At 34.9% G+C, this 27,293-nt stretch overlaps 1 pseudogene across 1 annotated transcript in view, besides 2 other annotated features; it reads left to right on the forward strand.

The window, feature by feature from the left end:
* LOC400464 (ubiquitin conjugating enzyme E2 Q2 pseudogene) overlaps window positions 1-27,012 on the forward strand; it is a 75,960-nt pseudogene extending 48,948 nt beyond the window's left edge. Inside the window, exons 4-5 of the transcript NR_135737.1 lie at window positions 20,983-21,178; window positions 26,998-27,012. The product of NR_135737.1 is annotated as a ubiquitin conjugating enzyme E2 Q2 pseudogene (transcript). The remainder of the gene's footprint in view (window positions 1-20,982; window positions 21,179-26,997) is intronic.
* Window positions 7,614-7,908: an enhancer, noted in NCBI's record as "tiled region #11003; HepG2 Activating DNase matched - State 8:EnhW". NCBI's record gives its function as "activates a minimal TATA promoter and a strong SV40 promoter by Sharpr-MPRA in HepG2 cells {active_cell/tissue: HepG2}" and the evidence as "EXISTENCE:reporter gene assay evidence [ECO:0000049][PMID:27701403]".
* Window positions 7,614-7,908: a silencer, noted in NCBI's record as "tiled region #11003; K562 Repressive non-DNase unmatched - State 24:Quies". NCBI's record gives its function as "represses a minimal TATA promoter and a strong SV40 promoter by Sharpr-MPRA in K562 cells {active_cell/tissue: K562}" and the evidence as "EXISTENCE:reporter gene assay evidence [ECO:0000049][PMID:27701403]".
* Window positions 27,013-27,293: the final 281 nt, after the last annotated feature.

Raw genomic sequence — 27,293 nt, forward strand, 5'->3', positions numbered from 1 at the left:
GTTGAACAATAATAACACATGAACACAGGGAGGGGAACAACATACACCAAGGCGAGGGGAGGAAACTTAGAGGATGGGTTAACAGAAGCAGCAGACCACCATGGCACACGTATACCTATGTAACAAACCTCCACGTTCTGCACATGTATCCCAAAACTTAAAGTAAAATTTAAAAAAAAAATTAAAAAAGGAAACCCTAAAAGAAAAATTTCACTGTACACCACCAAATATTATTATTACAAGAAGTATGCTGTCTTTTTTTAAAGCCCATTAATGGGCAAAACCTCCATAGGGACTTTCATAAATGTATGCGAATTTTAATTTATCAGATTTATTTTTCCCAGAAGATCTTAAACTATTCAAGCATGAGCTCTACTATTTTGTCATTTTTCAAGAATATCTGGCCTGTATATGCACCGTATTTTCAGCATAGAACCTAATACTGATTTATAATTGATGCTTTAGTACTAGTATTCATAACACAATTATTAAAATATTGAATTTGAACTAAAATTGGTAACATGTCTAAAACATTTGGAAGCATGTTTGTATTAAGTGAGATTTTCATTTGCAGGCCATTTGCTCTGAAAATCACTGGAAACAGAGACATTTCTGACAGCAGAATCCTATAGTGGGTGAAGGGAATTTCCTTATATAATTATATTTGTAAGATATCAAATGGAAAATGAGTCCTTTTGCGTTTCATTTGTTATCCTGAAAGCCAACAGCATTGACTTCAAAATTCTATAGGCTTTGAAAACTTCCAAACCCTAAATGATCAGCATTCCTACCTGACATATAAACAATAATAACACTGAAGAATCAGATATATTGTATACTCAGTGAAAAATGAAAAATAAAAGCTGTAAGTAAAATCAATGATACTATGCCACATTGAAAGTAAAATCTTACAGGTGAACTTAATGAGAAACAGCGACAAAAAACCCTCAAATCAACATTGCATTTTTATACTTAAAGCTCTGCATGTTTTTCTAAATAAGACTAATCCGTCAATGGTGAATTTTTTGAGGCATAAAATGAGTACAATGGCCATGCCTAGCCTAGCATTTTTAAATTATTCAAAGTATTGCCAATAATTAAAGACAATAATCATAAACTAAAGTCATAGTTTCAAAGTTTAAGGAAATTAGGTTTTAAAAGTAATAAACTATTTACTGATAGGGAGAATAATTAATTCAATTACTTCTGTCTTACTTTACTGACAAGGAGAGAGATGTCAATGAAGCCAAGTTTCTTTTACAAAATTACAGGCAGGTGGTTGCTTGGCCAGGAGGATAATCTAAATTTCTTGATTCATATCAAGGATTGTTTGCTTTTTCCTCTACTACAAAGTTTATTTCAAAGACATTTTGTTATCCCTTGTAATTCTACTTGGAACTGAGTCCATTTAGAAGAAAAGTGAATTATACTTATCATGGCTTTAAAATAAACACTGAGTGTCATACCACTGGCAGTTTATACAGTATGATTTGAAACTCAATGCCAATTTTAAAACACAATTTATTAGACAATCAAAAATTACCAAGGATTTCAGTGGAGATATACAAATAGGGTTTTGTGTTAAATAAACGTAAGGCAATGTGAATAACAAAAGTCTCACTTACCATGATGGACAGATTTATTATTGGCAAGAATCAGATTATTGAAGGGAGCTTATAAGGGAAGCCTATAGCTATCTGAATTTCCTATAAAACTCCACAGCAACTAAACAAAAGCTGATGGAAGAATTTAAGTTGAACTTGGATTAAATTTTTACATGTATCCTAATGTCAGCAACAGGATTATGGAAATAAATGTTTGTGGTGTTCAGTTTTCTTAGTAATTTAGAAATATGCCATTTTCTCCTTTGGATTAGTGAGGAAATAGAGTGCATTTTCTGGATATTGTTGTAATATATCAACAACATTCAGCAAAAGCTCCAGCTTTAAAGACCACTATTACACACAAAGGCAGAAGGAAGCCTCTTGCATACTGAAGGTTCTAGCTGGTGATTATACACACTTCAATCCTCTTGACATGAATAACCACCCTCCATGAGAAGGCACTCCTACTGGAAGCTCACATGTGATGGTGTCAGAGGAAAGTTACGCCTAATGAGCAATTCAGAGCCACTCAGTTAACTCTTTTGTCAAAAAATGACATGCCCTAGTTTGATCCTCCCTTCATCCAACAAAACTTAGTACTAAATAGCATGATTTTAACAGGGATTAATGTTTTAATCTATATATATAGAATAATTAGCAAAACAACTTGAGTTTTGTTCTATTAAATATATTAAAGAATGAATATAACTTTCTTAATGTCTGAAATAAATCTGGAAACAACAACAAATCTAGACATCTGCTTAGTTTGTAACTTAAGTAAAAAGTTTAATTAGAAATTAAATAGTTGGACAAATCAAAATAGGGTAAAAACATGGAAATAACTATAATTAATTTGGAAATATTTGATAGCAGAGGTGAATGGTGGTTACTCAAATAAATCTGCACTAGGAGGAGGCTTTACTTTGATGGATAAAATAGGAGCAAAAAATATGCCTAATATTGAATATCAGCAATTAAATTTCAAATATTTTTATAAAATGATTAGTATGGTGCTATCAATATAAACTGAAGCATGTATCTTTAAATAACTCCAGAAGAATGGATACATTTTAAAGCCTGAACATGGCATTATTTGACAAAACAGATAATGTATAGAAATGGACTTATTTCATTTGTAGCAACTCAGCATAATTCTATCTAATAAGAGGTGTATAGAGGATAAATAAATGCAGAAATATCACAAAGCAAAGTAACTTCCTAGAACAAAGCCAGTTTTTTGTATTCTTATTGAAAATAATAACGAAATGAAGATATATATATAATCATTTGTGTATATATTTTACATTATTAGTGATTACTTAGGAAAGGTCTCACAAACGTTTTAGGATCTAAAAGTACTTTATATCCTAAGAGAGGCTATCATGTTATGGTCAATCAATATGCACTCAAATAAGATGAACACATTTGCCTGCAGTACCATGCAAATAATAATAATCATCTCCCCTTGGAACAAGACATGGTTTTTCATGTTTTCCTTTCATCATATCAGAGCCTGAAAAATGCTTGGACCCCTAACAGACACATTCAATAAATATTTGTTGAATGAATGAAAACAATATATACTCTATCATACATTCTCCTTAAATTTCAATACAGTAAGAAGAGTTTAGAAGGGTTAACTTCCATTATTCTCAATTAAAGATACCATGTGGCCTGTATGGCAGAAATGTCTCTTCAGAATATTTAGCCTTTGATTCCATAATGAACTCAAAAACAACTTTTATGTTAATGTCTGAAATCAGGAACTCTATTATTATAATTGTATTTCAGATTAGAGTTCAAAATCTACTTGAGGTGTGATTATCTGCTTAGTATCCAGAATCAGAGCAGAACCAAGATTCCTTGTCATGTCTCTGACTGGAGAGGAGGAATTTTCTAGTCCCCGTCAACTGAGAGTACAGCATTTATTCCTGGGCCTATGTAGGCAGCTTAGATTCAGCTTTTTGCTTGAAAACACATACAGTAAAACACAACAATAAAATCGTATTGCCTGGCCCTGCAACAGGAGCACTGACATCCAAGCACCTGGAGGATCTCAATACATGCAGAAATGCACTTGATAAAACTCAACATTTGTTAGTTATAGTTATAAAGATCTTAGCAAATCAGAAAGATAAGGAACACTTTCAAGCTGACAAAACCTACCATGAATATAATACTAAATTGTGAAAGACTGATGAATACACCTTAAGGTTGAGAACAAGGTAAGCATGTCTGTTCTCACCATTTCTATTCAACATTAGGCTGAGGTCTTAGTGAAAATAATAAGCGAAGAAAAAGAGATAGAGGCATGCAGACTGGGAAAAACAAAACTGTCTTTATTAACAAACGTTATAATTAGCTATTTAGAAAATCTCAGAAAGGCTACAAAAATACTAAACTGATTTAAACGTGAAATTTACAAGGTCATAGAAAGCCAGGTTAACATATATATTATAAATGTCTATGTATATATATAATATATGTTTATATTTATATAATCATACCCTTGTATATGAGCTAAAAATAGCTGAAAATTGAAATTAAAAAACATAATACCATTTGCAGTATATCAAAAACATGAAATTATTCAGAATAGATCTAGTAAAATATATGCAAGGTTTGTGTGCTGGAAATTAAAAATCATTGATAAAAAATCAACATAAAAATAAAGCAATCGAGAGATACACTGTGTTTATGCAATAAAAGACTAAATATTATTTAAATCTCAATTCTACCCAAAATTGATTTATAAATTCATTTCAATCCCTATCAAAATCCCATCAGGTATTTTTGTTGAATTGACAAGTTGATTCTAAAACACTTGAAAATGCAAACCTTGAGAATAACTAAAACAATATTTTAAAAGAACAAATGTGGAGGATTCTTACGGTTTGATTTAAAGTCACACTATAAAGCTATAGTAATATAAGGTTGCATTGAGGTAAAGTATACAAATTTACAAAATAATTTGGAACAGAATGTAGTGTCTAAACATAGTTCCACACATATATAGCCAGCTAGTATTCTACAATGGTTGATTTTCAATGGTGAAAGAACAGACTTTTTACAAATGATGCTTGATTAACTTGGTGATCAAATGAAAAAAGATGAGTCTTGATCTTCACCTTTCTTGTTATAGAAAATATTAAGTTGAAATAGATCAGAGGCCTGAATGTAACATGTAAAACTCTAGAACTTCTAGAAGAAAATATTTGAGAAAATCTTTATGAACATGGTTAGGAAAAGATTTCTTAGATAAGGTGAGAAAATGGGATAAATAATAAAAATAAAAATAGAAAAATTGGACTTTATAAAAATTAAGAACGCCTGCTCTTAAAAAATCGCCATTAAGAAAATTAAAAGATAATCCACAGAATGGGAGAAAATATTTGCAAATCATAGATCAGATAAGGAATTTGTATCCAGAATATACAAAGAATTCTTACAACTCAATATTAAGAAGCCAAACAATTTGGTTAAAAAAATTAGGTAAAATATTTGAAAAGACACTTCACCAAAAAACAATGATAGCGATGACAAGTAAAAAGATGATCAACATTATTAATCATTAGGGGAATGCAAATTTAAACCATAAGAAAATATCACTATTTATTGGAACATTTAAAATAAAGATAAGGTAACAAAACCATGTTGTGGTAAGGATGAACAACCAAACACTCATATGTTTTTGATGAGAATGTAAATTACTATAGCCACTTTGGAAAACAGATTAGCACTTTCTGTTATAAATTCATACATGCACTTATTGTATGACTGAGCAATTCCATTTCCAGGTTTTTACCAAGGAAAATGAAAATATGTCTGCACAGTATCTGTACATGAATATTTATAGCAATTTTATATGGGACAACCCCAAACTGAAAACAACTATAGTGTCCATTAATTGGTAAATAAATAAACTCATTGGGGCATATCCATACAATGAAATGCTACTTAACCAAAAAAAAAAAGAAAAAAAAAGGAATGAAGTACTAGCACATATAAAGACAAGACTTACTTGAAAATGCATTATGCTAGGTAAAAACATTAGTACTTTTCTCCTTGTAATGAACAGCAGTCTGTGAAGAGACACTTTGAGAACATGCAAGCAGCCTGCTTCTCATCCAGCTCTTCCCAACGATAAATATTCTCCTGATATTTCTTGCTTGAATTATTCTTTACCACCATGGTTGCAAATGGTATTCCCCACCCCACCTCCCTCCACACCGCCACTCCATGACTCTTCCTTTCACATGTATCAGCTGGCACACTAATTTAAAGAAATGTTCTCTTTTCTCCTCTGCCTATTTATCCATTTATGTATGCATGTATCTGTTTGTTTGCTTATGATAATAGATGAATAATTTTCTACTTTAATCATCCTGTTTTATTTAATCGTTACTATCTATTGCAGTCCTCAGTTATTTTGATACTCAAATTGTTCCTAGATTTGGTCAGCAGGAACCCCTTCAAGCTATTGCCTGTTTCTTTTTGACATGTCCCCATTGTTTTCTTGATCACTTCCTTTCTTTCTGGCACAAAAAGGTGTTCCAGTTTCATCATGTACCTTCTTTGTCCCAGCCCTGGAACCAGACATTTCTCCAAGAGGCTCTTGTTCCTTTCAGTAGGGACAGGTATTAAAAACCATCTGTGCACAAAATTTGCTTATGGCTCTTAAGGTATTAGTGCTTCTTTTGTGGGTAGAATTAGGAGAAAAATAATACATATATATGTGTATATATACATACACGTAAATATATATGTGTATTGTGCATACATATATCTCTGTCTCATACTGAGACTCTAGTCTGTTTGCTTAGCTACATTTGACTTAGTTGCCAATTTCAGCCAGAATTAGGAGAGGGAAGAGATGAGGGAGGAGGGAGAGTGAGAGACAGAGATAGAGAAAGAATTCCTCAGGATCACTTATAAAGCAATTTCTAGAAGAAGTGAGTAGGAGTGGTTGCATTTTACTTCTGGATTCTGAGCATTAACTTTTCCCATTCGTGTCTATGAAGATGTTTTCTGTTCAAATGTTAACCTTCAACTGGGCTTCGATGTGGGGAGGGAAGAGTTTTCAATTCATCTGCACCCATTTGCTTTTCAGTTTCTCCTGCATTTTACTATATCCTAGAAAACCACTACCCAGGTACAGGTACCTGGTGTGTGCTCACTTAGCTTTAGAAATAAAAATTATAGGGTAGAATTGAAAAGATAATGTTTGAATAAATGGCTTAAGAATGCCCAGACCACCTAAGAGAAAAATGAACACTGTATAGATGATGTTGTCACGCCCACAGATCACTGTGATAGACAAGACTCCATGAACAAACCTTGAATAGTGTGCACCGTTCTGTGGCCAATTCATTTGCCATTTCAAGTTATCCGCCACTTAAAGGATTTAAATCAGGAAGGATTTCACAGGATCTATGATACAGTCTTTTTTAAAACCACTTTAGATAGTCATTTTATTTTTTCATTTTATTTTTAGCAAGCACAGAACAGGTGGGAAACACAGCTTAGTTGGAATGGAACAAAGGCAGATTTGATACTTTTTTAGGAGCTTTTACAATATAATCTATTCTTTAATGGATAGCGTTATGAGAGAAAATAAGATTATAATGGAATAAAAAGTGGTCTAATGTTCATTATTCAATTTAGTGGATATGTTACAAGATTATTTCTAAAATCTTTTGTAGATTAAACTAGATGCCTTTCTTGATTCTGTGACTGGTATTACTCTATCATGATTTCTGAGACCTTTACTAAGAATGTTTTTCTGAACATACTAAAGCATATTATGTAAAAGATAGTGAGCTGTGGTGCAAGATCCTATGCAGCATGGCCCCTGGTATTATGACTACCTCTCCACCGATTTATACATAGAATTTACGTGGTATACACAGGTTGGCAAATACTGTAATTATTATAAAATGATTTTTCAAAATCTGTATTTGTATCTAACAAAATACTAAAAAAGAACTGTGTCAAAATAAAATGTTAGAATTTCATAAGTCTTTTGTTCCTAGAAATTGCTGAGATGTAAACCTTTTTTCATGAATGCTTTCTCTACTGACTCCTCCTCCCCCTAAGTTGACGAGTACTCTGCCCCTTGCTCTTTGTACTAAACACAGACAGGAGTGAGTGGTGGTGGTTATGATTAAAGCAGAAGATATTTTCACTGCAATGAGATGGAAAAGTATTAGCAGAGCCCTGGGTCGTGAGAATCCTTGATCTGGTTCCTATGACTGTCACAGGCTCCTGAAAAAGTTACATAGTGAGGACACAGTGAACAAGGAGACACTTTTTATAATTAAGGCTTTGACACATGTGACCGCCTCACCCTGGCATACTTGGTGACATCACCTTTGAGTCTCAAGGTTACCTCTGTCCCTTGGACCAAAAGCTTAGATACTGTGTCCTATGCCTACACTTAATTTTGACTTTTGGGTGTTAACCACTCTAGGATGAAAAAAGGCAAGTAGAAATTACTTCAAGGAAAAGACTGCTGAAGGAAGTAGAGTTTTCTTATTAAAGCTGGGAGCAGCTGAATTATGTTCACTAAGAATATCCTCCCAAATCTTGTAAGGTCTTGGTTAGTTGAATAGGGGGAAGTTGGCAGAAGGCTCAGCATTAAATTGCACCAGGATAAATTTACTTGTTCTTTTCCACTGAACTCCACATTGATAGCCCAAAGTTTCTATCTTTGACTTGTATCATCTTTCTTCTCTTGATTTCACACTATACATTAAAATGTACAACTTATTTTTATAGCTATTTCCTAAAAGTATTTCATCATTAATCAGTTTTCAACTCAGATGTTATATCGTCAATAACAATTTCCTGGTGGTCCTCTGCAACATTTTTTTAAATGACCAAAATAGTCATATGTCCCAACGGAGGTACAATTTACAGCATTGTGCGTTCTATTTCTGGACATATAACTATATAATCTGAGTTATGAAAATCAAAGAAACTAATTTAATATGTGAATTTCTATCACTGAACATTTTAAATACTTGTATTCAAGATAATATCACAGATTATATATGCAAATTAATGTAAATTCGCAGTGGACAATATTATATTGTCAAAATCACACTGACACAGACTCTCAGAAGTAGAAGCTTCCTATCAGAAGGTTAATATTTTCTGGATATAACACAGCAATAATAAAAAGCAAGCTCTGGATTAGATAGAAATCCAGGGATTTAGATCCTGGGGATTGTGAATCTAAATTTATGTTAAATGTAAGTACATGCTATTGTGAGACAGTTATTCATGTGTTCCTTGCAATTCTGCACATCTTACAAGTAGGGACACTGACTGCCCTTTGAACTACCTCATCATGGATATGTGCACAGTAAGCCCTGGAAAGCGGAGTGTATTTCTCCAGAACAAAGACCAAGTTGGCTTGGAGCCTTAGAGATTGTGATAGTGTCTCCCTGCCGAGAAGAAGCAGGTGTGCCTCCTGTTATAAAAGCTGTGGGTTCCCTAAACTCAGGGTTTCTTTCCTGTAATCAAACTCATTGTGTCAGCATGTGCCATCTGACCATCTTCATACTGACTTGTGTAAAGTGGGCTTGGAGAACCAATGCAAAACGTGCTGGTATTCTGGCTACTGTTATTGTTGTGAGAGAACTGTATCATCTTCTGCCATCATTCCTAAATCTGTGGTTGGATAACTTGCAAGAAAGGTAAAAAAATCTCAGAATATTCACATTTTATATGTGCATCATACTGAAAAATGTGTGAATGGACATGGCAGAAATAAACATTTGGAAAAGTTTCCATTAAAGGGTTTGCCTAGATTCAAGGACCTTTTTCACTAGATTTAAATTTGAACAGGCTGGGCACGGTGGCTCACGCCTGTAATCCCAGCACTTTGGGAGGCCAAGGCAGGTGGATCGCCTGAGGTCAGGAGTTTGAGACCAGTGTGGCCAACATGGCGAAACCCCGTCTCTACTAAAAATACAAAAATTAGCTGGTCATGGTGGCGCGTGCCTGTAATCCCAGCTATTAAGGGGACTGAGGCAGGAGGATCACTTGAACCTGGGGGGCAGAGGTTGCAATGAGCCAAGATCGCGCCACTGCACTCCACCTTGGGCAACAGAGTGAGACTCCGTCTAAAAAAAACAATTTACTAGCCTAGCCAACATGGTGAATCTCCATCTGTACTAAAAATACAAAAAAATTAGCTGAGCATGGTGGCAGCCACCTGTAATCCCAGCTACTTGGGGGGCTGAGACAGGGGTATTGCTTGAACCTGGGAGGCAGAGGTTGCAGTGAGCCAAGATCGCACCACTGCACTCCAGCCTGGGCAACAAGAGCAAACCTGCTTCTCAAAATAAATAAATAAATAAATTGAACACTATCAATAAACTTTCTAAGGGAAATGACTATGAATAATTGCATTCCTGAAAAATTTACAATGCTCAGAAGCAACTGTTTCACTCATTTTTTTTAATTTGGAAACTATTTTTATATGTTTAGTTATGCAACATTTCTTTCTTTCTTTCTTTCTTTTTTTGAGACAGAGTCTCACTCTGTCGCCCAGGCTGGAGTGCGTTGGCACAGTCTCAGCTCATTGCAACCCCTGCCTCCCAGGATCAAGCCATCCTCCCACCTCAGCCTCCCTAGTAGCTGGGACCATATAACTTTTTACTTTTCTGTTATCTCAGAAGAAAAAATATTTCTCCTCATTTTCTTGCCGGAACATTTCATTCCTTTCTTCTTCTCTCAGACCTCATTATTTTCTCTTTTTTGCCACATTCTCACTGAGGTGCTAACTCACTTCTGCCAAGTGTTTTTAGAGTTATACAACTGGTTCTTCAAGCATTAGGCCATCATCTACTTTCAGGTTAGATAAGACTATAATTTATCATTAAATTTGGTAAGACTCTGATGAGGATTTTTTAAAAGAGAGTAGTTGGCATATTAATATGGATTAGTAAGGGCCAGACATGGTGGCTCATTCCTGTAATCCCAGCTACTTGGAAGACTAAGGAAGGAGGATTGCTTGAGCCCAGGCGTTCGAGACTATAGTGGAGCCAGGATCGCACCACTGCACTCCAGCCTGAGTGACAGAGCGAGAACCTGTCTCAAAAAAAAATAAAAATAAAAAATCAATCAATGGAATAGTACAAAATGTTAGAGAGCAGCATGGAGAGAGTAGGGTGCCTCGTCTCGTTAATCCAAGCACAGCAGTGGAGGCCCTAGTAGGGAACAGATAACACACTGAGTTTTCATTTAAAATGTTAATAGAGGAACGATTTATAAAGTTGTGGAGAAGATGTGGGAAAACAAAAATGGAGCGTGCAGCATCTGGTGTGAGCAACAGAGCAACTGCAACCATCCCTGAACCTCAAGAGGGAAACAGAAATGGAGGTTTCGGAACCCAGACCTGTGGCGACACAGCTGAGGACAGGCCTCCAGGAGGAGCTGGGTCTTTCAGACAGGAACAGTGCCACTGCCAACCCAGAGCCTGGCGGGGACAGGGTCAGAACCACCAGTGCCTCAGCTCCTATTTCCTCCACACTTTCTTCTCCCGGTGGTGCTAGACAGAACCAGAGCCAGAGGACTGGACGCCGTGACAAACCATCCCAGGAGCAAACAGGAAGGGTTGGAGCCAGATAGAGAATGGCGGTGGAGGGGAAAAGAGAAGGTACTGGAAGCATCAGCCGAGGGGAGCTTTCAGGAAGATACTCAGAGAGCTTGGTGTATGTTCTACTATTATTATTGTTGTTGTTGACATTGTTGTTGGGTAATATGTAGGGACTTGGACCTGAGTCATGCTTTAAAAGCCTAAAGGCCAGAGACTGGCTTGAGCTGGAGAGTGCAGAAATATTTTATTTATTTATTTATTTGTTTATTTATTTATTTAGAGACAGAGTCTTGCTCTGCCACCCAGGCTGGAGTGTAGTGGTGCCATCTCTGCTCACTGCAACCTCGGCATCCTGGGTTCAAGCAATTCCCGTGCCTCAGCCCCCATGTAGCTGGGATTACAGGCGCCTGCCACCACACCCAGCTAATTTTGGAATTTTATTAGAGACAGGGCTTCCATCATGTTGGCCAGGCTGGTCTTGAACTCCTAACCTCAGGTGACCCCCAACCTTGGCCTCCCAAAGTGCTGGGATTACAGGTGTGAGCCACCATGCCTGGCCAAGAAATATTTCCTTAGGAGTGAAATGCTTCAGTATCTCCAGAAGTCTGGGCAGAAGTTCAGTCACGTTTTCTGTGGGCTAGATGTTGGCCTCACAGAAGAAATATGGTTGAATTTATCTTTACTAAAAGGAATTTTACCCAAGGAGGTGATTGGAGATAACTGTAACAGAGGGACGACCTCTGGCAGCTAAGGCTTGAGGCCAATTCATAAACATCTTGCCAGATATGGGGGCTGAGGGTGGGAGTGGAGGCTTTGGTGGGTACCATCAGGGGTGGGTTTCCCAGGACCTCACATGGCCAATGGCAGAGTTGGTTTTGGACAGTTGCCTCAGCCAGAGGATCACATTGTCTGATGACAACTCTGCTTACATAAAACATTATCTTTTCTCATTCTTACAACTTCATTCCCTGGGCCCAAGCAGTAGCCAGTGAGTGTGACATAAGAAGAGGCAAGAGAAAGAGATGTTGACCGCACCCCAGCTTCCCACTATAGGTTTCCCAGACTCTATAAAGATAAAATGGTGAAATGATAATTTTACATTGACTGTGTTTTGATTTACAAGACTGGATTGGAATATTTAGTCTTTCAGAATGACACTATAAATTCATGCCTGAGCACAACAAAGACAGCTATACTATCTACCTGAGATTTCATCTAGAATTGGTATAGAATAAGTCCACAGACCTCTTTTAAAGATAGTGATATGGGAAGAGAAAGCCATCTTGTAACTTCCTCTCTAACAAGTCCCATTCCTTCAATAAAGTGTAACATTTACACGAATATATTGTAAATTTGCATTCTGCCTTCCCTGACTTCCCACTCTGCCTACAATCATGCTTAAGTTTCGCACATTCTAAAAATCTTCCCAGCTGTTGACACTGGTAATGCATTTAGCCATCAGTTTCAGCTTCTTTTCTTTGTCAAATACTTGAAATAGTAGCTTTCGGTAGTATTTCTAGTTTTATCTTTTGAAACTATTTTGATTTAATTGTTTTAATATTTTAATCTTTAAGTCACTTTTAGAATTACTTCTATGTGAGCATCACCAGTGACTTTATATTGCAAAATGTAAAACAAAAAACAAAAAACCTGGTGGAACTCCTGAAGATCTCCTTCCTGGAGAACCTTGATGTGTGTTATCTAAGATGGTTTTTTTAGGCCAGCTGCATTACTTAGTTGATAATCGTGGAACTCCCCTTACCAAATGATGAACAACCTGGATTGATCCTCTAAATATTTTGTTTTTTGCCTCTTTAATTTTCTTTATTCTTATCTTTGTATTAGATATTTTTTCTGAAAGTTTTTTCTTAAGTTTCTAGTTCTGTAATCCTTTTCTTTCTTCCACTTATTTCTTCAGTTATTCTCTTAGTTGTGTAAAATTTTAATAAAATTATACATGCATTTTAAAAATAAAATCAACTGGTATGAAAGATTAATAATAAAAAGTGATCATTGTTCATCCTCAAACCATTATGCTCCCAGGGCTAATAATACTAACTCTGATAGCTATTTTTCTGGTATTTATTGCCATCTGTCTAAATAAAATTGATTGTTGTGATATCTTGACTTATTTATTTTAGCATTATATACTGTCCTCTGATTGTGGATTAGTGATAAGGTTAAACAATATTCAAGTGATTCAATAAATCAATTTTAGCATAATCTTGACTAGCAAATATTATTTGTTTCAGTTAGTATATTATTTCCTTTTCACTTTGGTACAACTTTAGCTTTTCCTAGAAATAAAAAAAAATCTACTTTTTGTTTCTCATTGTTTTAAACATAGTTTTCTAATTACCAACCAACCCTTGTCATACTTCAAATGATTGATCTATCAGCTATTTGTCTAGGATCTTCCCTACATCTCATCTGGATGTCACACAATCATTTTTATCATTAATAGCAATCATTTTATCCTTCGTTTTAGAATTTTGTATATATGGTTAATTTATACTATCAAACTGAAATTATTTAAGAGAAGAATCTTATCATCATCATCTTTGACCTCTTCAGTGTTTAGAAAATGCATGTTACTTGAATTTAAATGAATTTGATTAAGTATATGCTATATTTGCAAAGAATGTGTTAACCTAAAAAAAATTGGTGAATTATTTCATAAAATTGCTTATACAACAAATGTTATTTTAAAATTTGCGGTTCTATTTTAAATAATAAATACATTTTAGTGTATGCAATATGAAGCCATTCATAATAAAAATGCAGTTATCGAGGCTATGAAGAAATAAAATATGACATAAAAATTAAATATTCCACTTCAAAAATAAATAAAACACATTAGTAGTGATTATTAATTTGTTAGAAGTAATCTTGACTCCTAGTTCTCAGAAAATTATCTCTGTGCATAAACAATGTGTTTATTGATATGCTAAAACAATTGCTTGACAGGAAGCCCCTTAAGTATTTTATTATTTTAAATACAAAGTGAGTGATTTAGTTTTGAGAAAATTAATGATCATTATTCTGCAGTTACTTTTGCATTTGTTATTATAAAGTGACAGTTGTGACTTAGAAAACTACTTTTTAATGTAGATGTGACTAAATTTATTTTTGGTTACTAAATATGTGAGTCAATATAGAAAGTTAAATTTAATAAAGTATTCATTTGTTTTACTTCAATATCTTAATACCATTACTAGATAGTGAGACTTGTATTATTGTGATAAAAGGTTGTTAATATTTTGTAGGGACATACACATTGCCTAACATCACCCATCTTTATTTCACATGATCCTCTATGGTTATGTCGTGTTAGTGGTCAATCTAATCATTAGAGCCTGAATACTAAACTTCATTCAGTCACAGTGTTTTGTTTTTACTCTTTTTAAACATTTTCTTACAACATAATTTGGAGTTATTCAACTTGTCAGCGACATCTTTATTAATATGTAAGTTGAAATCAGCAAACATTTCTTGCGAAAATCTTTAGAATAAAAGCGAGGAAAGAATTAAAATGCCCTGTTTGTAATCACTGGTATAGATGTCCGCACCGATGTCATCCGAAGTGTATCTTAGTGCGTTTTTAATCACTGGTGTATCTACTTACCTTTTCCCCATCATTAGTATTAAGAGCACTTAGCTATTTACTTTTTAATTTTCTGTAGTTTCTCAGATCATCAAGAGTGACTAAAGTTAAGTATTTGGGGAGCAGAAGTCAAATTAACCTAAATAATTTTTTTCTACTTTTCCTTGTAATAATATATCAGATTGTCAGTGACCAGATTATTTATGACAATCAATTGTAAGAGAAGAATACCATGTTAGTTTGGCTTGAAAGATATATGTCAAAAAATCTTACAGAGTCATTTGTGCAAATAACTATGTAATTAAGATATCCAAGAAAATTTGCCTTAATTTTTAGAGGTTACTTAGTAAAAATCAAGAGGGGAAAAAAAGGATGCAAAGTCTAGCTGCTGTTCTTAATTTCACTGGTGCACCATTTGCATAAGTTTTATTAATTTCACAATGGCAATTACCATGGGAAGAGTACTTAAGAGCTGCACATAAATGAAGCATTAGATGTTATTTCCTTTTAGCTATTGTTCAAAATGAGGGTGGTGCCTTTGTCAGTTTAAATTCCTGTAAGTATGTAACTCCTAGACTATGAGTATACATTTTGTAAATCCTTGAAAAGTATAGTAATTATATTCATTGTTATGTTACTACCAGTCATTGCAATTTATAAAAATGCCCTGAAATAATACATAAAGTAAAATTTTTACATTATCAATTTTAGTGCAGTAGTGAATAACATATGTCTGATGCCTAGAAAGAGAAAAAAATCATAAATACATATCAAGTTAGGTGAATCTTTGGTGAGAATTACACAAGGTGGGAAATACAGTGGCAGTCAAGAGACTCGGGTGAGAAATTTAGTTACAAATGGAACTAGGAGCTTCTCGGTGGAAAAAGAAGTAAGCAAATGTAAGGAATACAAACCCTGGAGAATAGCAGAAGGGAGAAAGATTAAACTGATATCTATTAGAGCAGAAATCTATAGTAAAATGTGGGTGTTCTGATGAATAAAAGGAGATTTAGAATGGAAAGAAGAGCTAAAGGAACTGAATGCTGGATTGTTGATTGCTGTTTATTATGATACCACCGGCTTCTATGCAGAGCATGATTTCTAGGTGGCAATACTTGATGTGAGGGGATCAGGTAGAAGAAGTTACAGCAGATGACCTCTGATCGAATCTTTGAGGAAGGAGTAACTTGGTTCTGAGGCTGCTTCAGAGATGTTCCAAAGTCCTTCAGGATAAAGTACTCAGCAAGCCAAATCACCATGCACTGGGTATCATTTTCTAAGCCCAAGAGCATTACATGTCTTCTTTTTCTAGTTTCAAATTTATTGTCTGATTTATTTAAATATCCCATAACATTTGAAATAAGGGTCTCTTTTTAATATAATGAAACATTTCAGTGTATATGTTTATGTGTATGTATTATATTCAATATTTTATTGACATTTTCCTTATCTGTTTGAATATTTTGTGTATTTCATCTTTCATGGCCTTAGAGAGGGAAGAAAGTCTTTAGCATCACTTTGGGTCTGTCTTTTCCTGTTTGTCATTTCTACAGTTAATGCAGTTCTTGCTTTATGCATGTTGAAGCTGTGTTATTTCATACATGAAGTTTCACAAGAGATAATCCTATGTTATAGCGTTTTCCTTTTATACCATGTTTCCCATAAAATGCCCGTCTTTAAAGTTGGACACCTGAGCAATAAGTATTGTAATCCTTTGTATAAACATGTCCAATATTATCAGCAATTGGATGTATCCAGATTGTGGTAGTGTAAAAACACGGTTCCTAAAATATATTATAGTAAAATAGGAAGAACAAAGTTATATAATACTTCCTTGCTAATTTTATTCAATATTTGGGTACCAGAAGTATTTTGTAGTGTCATAAATCACCGCACAATCTGTTTCACATTTACCAGTTATGTCCCCCATAACTTCTCTACACATCCAGACTTTTCTACACATTATTACATACTTCCAAGGTATGCTATAGTCTTATTAACTAAGCATATTTGATTTCAAGATGCCACTTCTGATCACTATACATTGGCAAAAGATTAAAATATTGAAAACTCTCTATGTATTTCTATAGTGGAAGCACAAACATAAATTTTTATATTAAAATGCCCTGTAGGTATCAAGTTATTAAATCTTCTTTAGAAAACTTAAGTTTTATCTCACTGTCCCTCTAGATTATTCTATTTTACTGGGGAAAAACATAAATCCTTATTTTTATCAGCCTTTTCATTTGCTTTACATACTTTTTGGGTGTAGGTGTTGTTGGTAGGGGAAGTTTTATTGGTCAAAAAAGTTTGGGAAATGTTGCATTGCTCATAGCCTTTATACCCCTTCTTGGAGACTTAAACTTAACATTAGCATATTTAAGACCATAAGAAGTCTATTTTACTGCCTTTGCAATAGTTTTTGACATCTAAGGAACACAATTTGGTAATTTTACTGTAGATACATTTATTTTAAAAGCAGGTTCAGGAAGGCTATATAACTTCTTAATGCCAATGAAAGATCAACTTTTGTTGTAAATTCACATAAACAGGAATATTCCAAGGGCAAGCTCCTTCTGTGGTCACTGTGTGTGTTCCCTCCCAGGGATCCTGCTAAACCACATGTTCTATGGAAACGGGGGCACATTGACAGGTTTGCATTTTCCACCTTATACTTCACACACTGCTGGAAATGCAAGCTTCTCTTTTTGTGGTTCAAGTGATTAACACATTTGATTTTATGCCTATTGTCTTTCTAGCTCTATCTGAAATAAAATATTCCTATGCTTATGAAACTGTCTATAATGCTAAGCCTTAACTGTCATCATAAGAACAACTGTTGTGGTAAAGTAAGCAGTGGACTTCCCATTAGACAACAGAGGTTTAGCGTCTGGCCTCACCACTGCTGAAATATGTGATGTGTGAAAAGTTATTTCAATTACGTGACTCTGCTTCCTTAAATGTGAAATTGAGGTAATCATATGCATAAGACTATTCTTACAGATTTAATTGTATGACCCTTTTAAGGAGAAAAGCATTACTGTTTTGTCATTTTGCTTTCTATATTTAACAAAATATCTCCTGTTAAATGTTTGGAGGTTATACAAAAGTTTTAGCTGCTCACATCAATATGTTGCCCTTCTGGAGAGTTAACACTATTTTGTAAAAGATATTTCTAGAGAAATCTCGCTCTGCAATTAGAACTTGCTTTTTGAATAGGTCAAGATTAGTGTCATAGAATGAAGATGTAAGAATTTGAAAAGGTATTTGAAATAACCTTGCTTTTCAGTGTCTCTCCTCCTACCCATTCCATTGCTGAGAAAATGGATGACTAGAGAAGCTAAAAGAAGCTAAATTACTTGCAACAAGTGAGTGACAGACCTGGACATTGAATCCAGAGGCCCCTAATGTGCTACTCTCCCAACTTTCTTGTAACCAACCATTTGAATTATTCACAGGAGTAAGAAAATGGCTTCTCTGCCGAAAAGCAACTCACGATTCTGCCAAGTGACCTGAAATGCCAATGCAGATGATCTCTGACTTACCCTGGTTTGAATTAGGATTTTTTTACTTTTATGTTGGATTTATCAGGACATAATTCCATCCTCAGTGGAGGAACATCTGGACTTAAAATGGTTCAACTTACAACTTTTCAGTTTTACAATGGGTTTTTCAGGGTATTAAATGCATTTTCAACTTAGGATATTTTTGATTTCCAGTGGATTTATTGGGACATAGCCACATCATAAGTCTAGAAACATCTGTCTTAGAAACTTGAAGGCTTTGTAATCTTCAAATATATCTTAATGAAATTTAAGTATCTTTGAAAAAATAATACTTTAGTGAATATTCATCTACATCCAATTATTTTTCATGGTATTAGACAAGGAGAGCCATAGCAAAAAAAAAGGGATAATAATAAATTATATTTTGTGAGAGTTGATAGGGTGGAGATTCATTCTTTTGCTGAATATCTTAAAAATTCCTGTATAAAATCAAGCTTCTTAGCAGAGCACACAGAACCATTCATAGGCTGATAATTCTCTGGCTTCATTCCTTTCCTTCCCATTCAGTCTTAAATTCTAGGCAAATTGAATACTGACTTGGTACTTTCCAAATCTGGCATATATTCTCACATCTGTGTGACTTTTTCACCTTTTGTTCCTTTTTTTTTTTATTTTAAAAGAATTTTTTAGAGACAGGCTCTCACTCTTTTACCCAGGTGGGAGTGTAGTGGCACCATCCTAGCTCACTGCCGCCTTGACCTCCTGGGCTCGAGTGATCCTCCTGTCTCAGCCTTCTGAGTAGCTGGTTCTATAGGCATGCACCACCATATGTACATTTATATATGTAAATATATATTTATATATATAATATATATATTTAATGTGGATATGATATCTTGCTATTTTTTCCATACTTCGTATATTGTGAACACAGTTCGTGTTTGATTATTTTTTCTTTGTCGTTGCAAACCTAATCATTTTGGAAGTTTAATTCAGGCTTATCGCTTCTATAAAGCCTCTCTTAATCAATGTCTGAATCATTTAGGTCAAGTTAGATGTCCTCTTCCTTGGCAATAACCCATTTGCACTTAATTGCTTTGCATCGTAGTTTCCTCATTTATAAAATGGGGGTATCGACAGTGCCTACTAGGAGTGTTGTAAGGATTAATACATGTAAAGTGTTTCAAAGGGTTCCTGAAAAATAAATGTTATTTTGTATGTTATTTTTATTGTAGTATGCATTATTTACCTGTCCATCTTTTCCATTAGACTATGAACTATTATAGGGCAAAGAATGTTTACAAACATCTTATTTAAGTGATTATCCCTGTTCCTATCATAATGTCTGGCACAGAACAGGCAATATTGTTTTTTCACTGATTAGAAAGGTGAATTCTGTTGGGAGAATGAATGCACCTTTTGTCTATCAGGGTCTCTGTAGTGCAATGTGAGCACTATGAGAACAACATAAGGGTCCTGAAATTCCAAAGGAAGTTGTGTTTGTTTGTCTTTGATGCAAAAGTTGCCAAGAAACAACACTAACTGTGGAAATGTGATGGTATCAAAAACAAGTTTCGTGACTTTATAGTTTTTCTCAGAAATAGCCCTCTCCATAAAATACGTTTTACTGGCCTCATTGAATAACTTATTCCTTTATTTGTATCATATGTATAAAGAATATAATAGAGACAAAAGAAGATAGTGTAAGATTTGAATCATTTTCCATATGGATTCAAGTCTCCAAGAAGTTAACAATAAATTATACTAATAATAATGACTGAAACTCAATATTTATGGAAAACTTATACAAATGTAGATAACAGCACAATTCATGATGTGCTTTGATTGGTCTGAAATGGCAGTTTTCAATAAATATTGAAATTAGGTGATAATCACTAGCATTATGTATTGTTTATCAGCATTCAGATTTCCATGAATAGGGATGCCCTTTTACACATTAACCTCCCTTCAAAGAACTTGGAGAAAAGACCTAATTCCAAATGCAGTAATATTTTTCATGCTTTTTCATTCTTCGTTATTTATTGTAGAAATGTATGCATACTCTTGGGATAGTAAGAGAGTTCATTTTTACCCAGTCATGTCTAAAATAACTCTGAGCTAAAAATATTCTCCCTGATACATAATGCAAATAAGCCTACCATGCAATTTTCATGGTTGATTCTTTGAAACTTTTGTAAAACTTAAGCTCTAAAATATTTGGAATCTTGTGGCAGTAAAAATAGTGGGAACATCCTGTTTTACATACTGCTATAAAGTATTCACCAGAATGATGTTTTTCTGTATTAGAAATACTTTCTTAGTTTGATTGCCTGAGAGAAAGAGAAATCTTTTTAAAAGAAAAGAGAGAATATTTTTAGTATTTTAATAACAATTAAAATTTTCGCTTCAAAATTCATTAAATAAGTGTTTGGAATAAATCCTATAACTAGAACATAGTCCTGAGCATTAAACAGTCATTTGCAAAGGGGAAGGCAAGTGGGCTGATAAATATGAAAAAAAAAAAATCTTGAGGACTACTAGCAGATTCCGTTTTATAGACACTTGAGAACAAAACTATAGATTTTTGAAGGTGAATTTTCATCAAAGAAAATACTTTGAATACATTATGTTACTGGAATTTAAACATGGATTATCTTTTAGTCTTGAGGATCCATTTTCTGAGACGGTGATGGGAAAGATGTTGGTTGTCAAGTGGAATCTCAGCAGTCATTTTCAGACAAAGTTAGAGAAAACAAGTATGGAAGATGCCTGATTCTCAAAGAGTCATCCAGTCTTGGGATTACCGCCTACGTCCATGGAAGTGAAAGTCCTCTTTTTCTTTGTACCACTTACTGAGGTAAGTGATAAGTCTGCTGCAGTTAATTTTATTAGTTACATTCTATTCATTGGTTATAACTACATATATACTCCGCCTCCCGGGTTCACGCCATTCTCCTGCCTCAGCCTCCCGGGTAGCTGGGACTACAGATGCCCACCACCGCGCCCGGCTAATTTTTTGTATTTTTAGTAGAGACAGGGTTTCACTGTGTTAGCCAGGATGGTCTTGATCTCCTAACCTTGTGATCCACCTGCCTCGGCCTCCCAAAGTGCTGGGATTACAGGCATGAGCCACTGTGCCCGGCCGGTTATAACTATATTTTAAATATACCTGGTTTATAAGAATTTAACCTATATGCCATACCATAGTTATTGCTTCAGAAGCCAAATGTGATTTTATTATGGTCATAAAATTATTTTAGATACCCTTATACCTCTTATATATCTGAACTGCCCAGGAAGTTTCATGATTATAATGTACTACATAGATGATCACTCAGCAGAGAAGTCTACCTAGATTTAGCAAAAAATGTATTGAGATTGATATGGTTAGTCTTTGTGTGCCCACTCAGGTCTCATCTTGAATTGTAATCGCCATAATCCCCATGTGTCAAGGGAGGGATCAGGTGGAGGTAATTGAATCACGGGGGTGATAGTGAGTGAGTTCTCACAAAATCTGACGGTTTTATAAGGGTCTCTCTCCTTCACTTGGCACTTCTACTTCCTGCCACCCTGTGAAGAAGGTGCTTGCTTCCCCTTCACCTTCCGTTATAATTGTAAGCTTCCTGAGGCTTCCGCAGTCATGCTGAACTGTGAGTCAATTAAACTCTTTCCTTTATAAATTGCCCAGTCTCAGGCAGTTCTTTATAGCAGTATGAAAACAGACTAATACAGAGATTAATCTTAATTTTTCCTTTCAGACATGCTGAATGCTGTTTCTAGATTTGTAAAAGTGCAGTGTGCATTAGCTGCCTCAGTGTGACACTTTCCTTTTGTGAGACTAAAGAAATTGAGGTAGTACTATATGGTACCTCAGAATTGTCATCAAGAAGTTTTGAAAGCTAACTTGAGTGCATTTCTTTGATGCTCCTCCTAGCTGAAATTAGAACATGTATAAACTATTATCGATATTTCATTAGGGAAATCTTGAAATATATGATAAATTAAGTTTGTGAAATTGTTCTGAAGCAATGAATGAACTCTCTAGATTAACTCTACTAGGATAAAATAAAATATTCCTATTTATTTTCATTCACAAAATAGTTGTTCTCTAGATAATCAAATATCCATAACAATGATGAACCCAAAAAGTTTTAATTTTACCTGATATGTATTCTAGTTAGTTCAAAGTTCAGTAGAAATCTTTCTCTTTTTAAATTTTTGTTCACAAAGTTTAACTTTACCTAAGGAAATGTTAAGGCTATTTTTACACTGAACTTCATTTTTTTTTCTTTTTTTGAGATGGAGTCTCACTCTGTTGCCCAGGCTGGAGTGCAGTGGTGCTGTCTCAGCTCACTGCAAGCTCCACCTCCCGGGTTCAAGTGATTCTCTTGCCTCAGCCTCCTGAGTAGCTGAGACTACAGGCCTGCGCCACCATGTCTGGATAATTTTTGTATTTTCAGTAGAGATGGGGTTTCACTATGTTGGCCAGGCTGGTCTCGAACTCCTGACCTCGTTATCTGCCCACCTTGGCCTCCCAAAGTGCTGGGATTTCAGGCGTGAGCCACCGTGCCCAGCCTGAACTTCAATTTTAATACCACTTGGGTCTTTATATATTTTAGCTAGTATGAATCTTATGTTTTTCTTACTTAAAAGCATCAATAAAATGCATTTTAAGATTAGCTGCCTGTGCCTCATAAGGTTTTCATTGCATGAAAGCTGGTCAACACAGCGGGAACATAAAACTCATTATTGGCACTAGTTCAGGTCTGTTACATTAACTGGCCCCATCACAAAGCACTCTATTTTTTGCTTACACATTGAATAGTAAATGAAGGTTAAAGTTTTAAATAGTGAAGCAAGATATCTGGCCATTTCCAGTGTTTTCTTTTTACTTTTCTTTTGAATCTTAGAACAAACCTGCCAGATAGGTATTACTTTTCCTCCAAAAAACTGAAAAGAAGGGAGGTAATAACTTATCTAAGGTAATAAGTCAGCACCTATGTATTCCCCAACCAACCCCCTCTCACTTACTCTCTCTTCCTTTTTTCCTTTATTCCCTCTTCCTGATTCACTTGTTAAATACCTACTGTATGCTGAGCATTTTTATTGTTCCTAGGGTTTCAAAGATTTGGCACGTTCCTTCGTACACAAGTTGCTGGAAGATACCAATATTCAAATACAAACCATAAGCTAGAATGTAGTATGATAACACAGATTCATGCACAGAATCCTCTGCAAAGAGGAGTAAATAAGTAGCATTTTGAGGGTTGTGGTGGAAGAATTGGGGAAAACTGCGTATAGGAGACTTTGACGTATAAGTAAAATAATAACAGATTTTCAAGACAGGAAAAAAAGACAAGGCGAGAAAGGATATTCATGACAAAGAGAATTCAGAAGCAAATTCACAGAGGCATAAATTAGGTTATATATTTAGAATAGCACAATTGCCCCCTATACATTATGGTCGGAGCACAGAAAAGAATGGAAAAAAAAATAGTCTAGGCAGAGTGCACAGAGCTAAGTCACGAAGATCATGACGATTGTGTATAACAAACAAATGAGTGATTGGATAACTCTATACAACATCTTCACAAATGGAGTCACGGGGAGGAACTAAGCTCAGATTCAGCACATGCAAACACGTACATGCACAGGGATAGGTGAGTGCTTTTCTACTTTAATATGAATTTGAATATTAATTGGAGCATTCTTTCTTGATATTGGACAGTTCTTCCTATTATATCTGTTCCAAAATAATCCATTTATATTACAAGTTTTCCCCTTGTATGCATTTAAGTTTAAAAATTCTCTATAGACAAAGGGAGACAATTTAAGATTTCAAACGAATATGGCTAGAACTATGTCTTAGAATTGCCTACCATTATAGGATACTGTTTTATAGACAATAAAGTACTCCTAGACAAGAGCAATGGGTGGGGGAAGAAGTAGCATATTCCAAGCTCAGTTGGTCAAATACATGGCTAAGTGTTTTTAGATAAGTAAAGTTTCACAGCTCTTGGAAAGGACTGTGCACAATTAACAGTTAATAACAATGTACAGTTGACGCTCAAACAATGTAAGCGTTGGAGGTGCTAGCCATCCACACAGCTGAAAACCCAAATATAATTTTTGACTCTCTCCCAACTTAACTGCTAATTGCCTACTGTTGACAAGAAGCCTTTCCAATAACATAAGTGGTCGATGAACACATATTTTGTATGTTGTATGTATTATATACAGTATATACAGTATTCTTACAATAAAGTAAGCTAGAGAAAAAGAAAATGTTATTAAGAAAATCATAAGGTAAAGAAAATATATTTGCTATTAAGTGGAAGTAAATCATCATAAAGGTCTTCATCCTCATTATCTTCATGTTGATTAGGCTGAAGAGGAAGAGGAAGAGCAGGTGTTGGTCTTGATGTCTCAGGGCAGGCAGAGGTGGAAGAGAATCTGTGTGTAAAGCACCTGCACAGTTCAAACCCATGCTGTTCGAGGGTCAACTGCATTCTTGAAAATTGCTAAAAGACTCCATTGTAAGTGTTGTCACCACAAAAAATAGTAAGCATGTAATGTCATGCATATGTTAAATCAGCTCAATTTAGCCATTCCACAATGTATACATTTTTGAAAACGTAATGTACACAATATATATAATTTTGTCAATTAAAATGGGTAAATACCTTAATTAATTTAAATAACTGTACACAATCTCATAGACAATTTGAGGCTCACCATGGTGGACTGGAATTGAAAATCTCCTAACTTATTATCCATCTCTTCTATTAGAAAGAGAAGGAGAAAAGAAGTCTGTTCTTATTTTTATGTCTGATATTTTAAATGTTTTTTCTGTCCTTTTCCATTCTCTTAGGGAGACTAGAATATAGGCAATATATTAAACAAAAGTCTTCTTCCTAAATAAAAATTATTATTTCTCTAATGCAAGCCATTGTAAACAGAATTGTAGGTGCCACTAATGAGCCTGAACATGTTACTCTTCTCCAGGGAACAATCATTAAAAGTAATTAAGTTGGTCTTGGGGAAGAGTAGGGTAAAATGGGAAAGAGAGCTTTACATTTCTTCTCATATTACTTTATTTTCAAATAAATAAAGTCACCTGGGTGACAAGAGTGAAATTCTGTCTCAAAGAATAAATAAATAAATGAACAAACTGGAAAAAAAAAAAAACCCACACATGGGAATACTTTCTTTACTGGCAGAATCTTGCTAGATATATGCTAAATAATATTCTCTTTAAAAGGCTCCAGAAATAAGACATAAAATGGGAGAAATAACTTCCAATAAATTGCTGTGCCAGTAAGAAAGTTAAAACAAACAAACCAGCAAAATATCCAGAAGCCAAAAATAAGATCAAAGCACATACAAGATGATGAAATATATTCTAATATATCCATACTTCCCTAAATATAAATGGACTACACTCTATGGTTGTATTGGTGGAGAAAAAAGCAAATCCATCTACAGGAGATTTACAAAGACACTTGAAAAATGCATGGATTTGTATAAGGTGTAAGGAAGGGATCCAGTTCCAGCTTTCTACATATGGCTAGCCAGTTTTCCCAACACTATTTATTAAATAGGGAATTCTTTCCCCATTCCTTGTTTTTGTCAGGTTTGTCAAAGATCAGATAGTTGTAGATATGTGACATTATTTCTGAGGGCTCTATTCTGTTCCATTCGTCTATATCTCTGTTTTGGTACCAGTACCATGCTGTTTTGGTTACTGTAGCCTTGTAGTATAGTTTGAAGTCAGGTAGCATGATGCCTCCAGCTTTGTTCTTTTGGCTTAGAATTGATTTGGTGATGCGGGCTCTTTTTTGGTTCCATATGAACTTTAAAGTGGTTTTTTTCCAGTTCTGTGAAGAAAGTCATTGGTAGCTTGATGGGGATGGCATTGAATCTATAAATTACCTTGGGCAGTATGGCCATTTTCACGATATTGATTCTTCCTATCCATGAGCATGGAATGTCCTTTCATTTGTTTGTGTCCTTTTTTTATTCTGTTGAGCAGTGGTTTGTAGTTCTCCTTGAAGAGGTCCTTCACACCCCTTGTAAGTTGGATTCCTAGGTATTTTATTCTCTTTGAAGCAATTGTGAATGGGAGTTCACTCATGATTTGACTCTCTGTTTCTCTGTTACTGGTGTAGAAGAATGCTTGTGATTTTTGCACATTGATTTTGTATCCTGAGACTTTGGTGAAGTTAGTTATCAGCTTAAGGAGATTTTGGGCTGAGATGATGGGGTTTTCTAGATATACAATCATGTCATCTGCAAACAGGGACAATTTGACTTCCTCTTTTCCTAATTGAATACCCTTTATTTCTTTCTCCTGCCTGATTGCCCTGGCCAGAACTTCTAACACTATGTTGAATAGGAGTGGTGAGAGAGGGCATCCCTGTCTTGTGCCAGTTTTCAAGGAATGCTTCCAGTTTTTGCCCATTCCATATGATATTGGCTGTGGGTTTGTCATAAATAGCTCTTATTATTTTGAGATACGTCCCATCAATACCTAATTTATTGAGAGTTTTTTGCATGAAGGGCTGTTGAATTTTGCCAAAGGCCTTTTCTGCATCTATTGAGATAATCATGTGGTTTTTGTCTTTGGTTCTGTTTATATGCTGGATTACGTTTATTGATTTGCGTATGTTGAACCAGCCTTGCATCCCAGGGATGAAGCCCACTTGATCATGGTGGATAAGCTGTTTGATGTGCTGCTGGATTCGGTTTGCCAGTATTTTATTGAGGATTTTTGCATCGATGTTCATCACATTAATTCAAGATGGATTAAAGACTTAAATGTTAGACCTAAAACCATAAAAACCCTAGAAGAAAACCTAGGCAATACCATTCAGGACATAGGCATGGGCAAGGACTTCCTGTCTAAAACACCAAAAGCAATGGCAACAAAAGCCAAAATTGACAAATGGGATCTAATTAAACTAAATAACTTC

This window comes from Homo sapiens, chromosome 15, assembly GCF_000001405.40.
Source record: "Homo sapiens chromosome 15, GRCh38.p14 Primary Assembly".
Taxonomy (NCBI): Eukaryota; Metazoa; Chordata; class Mammalia; order Primates; family Hominidae; genus Homo; species Homo sapiens.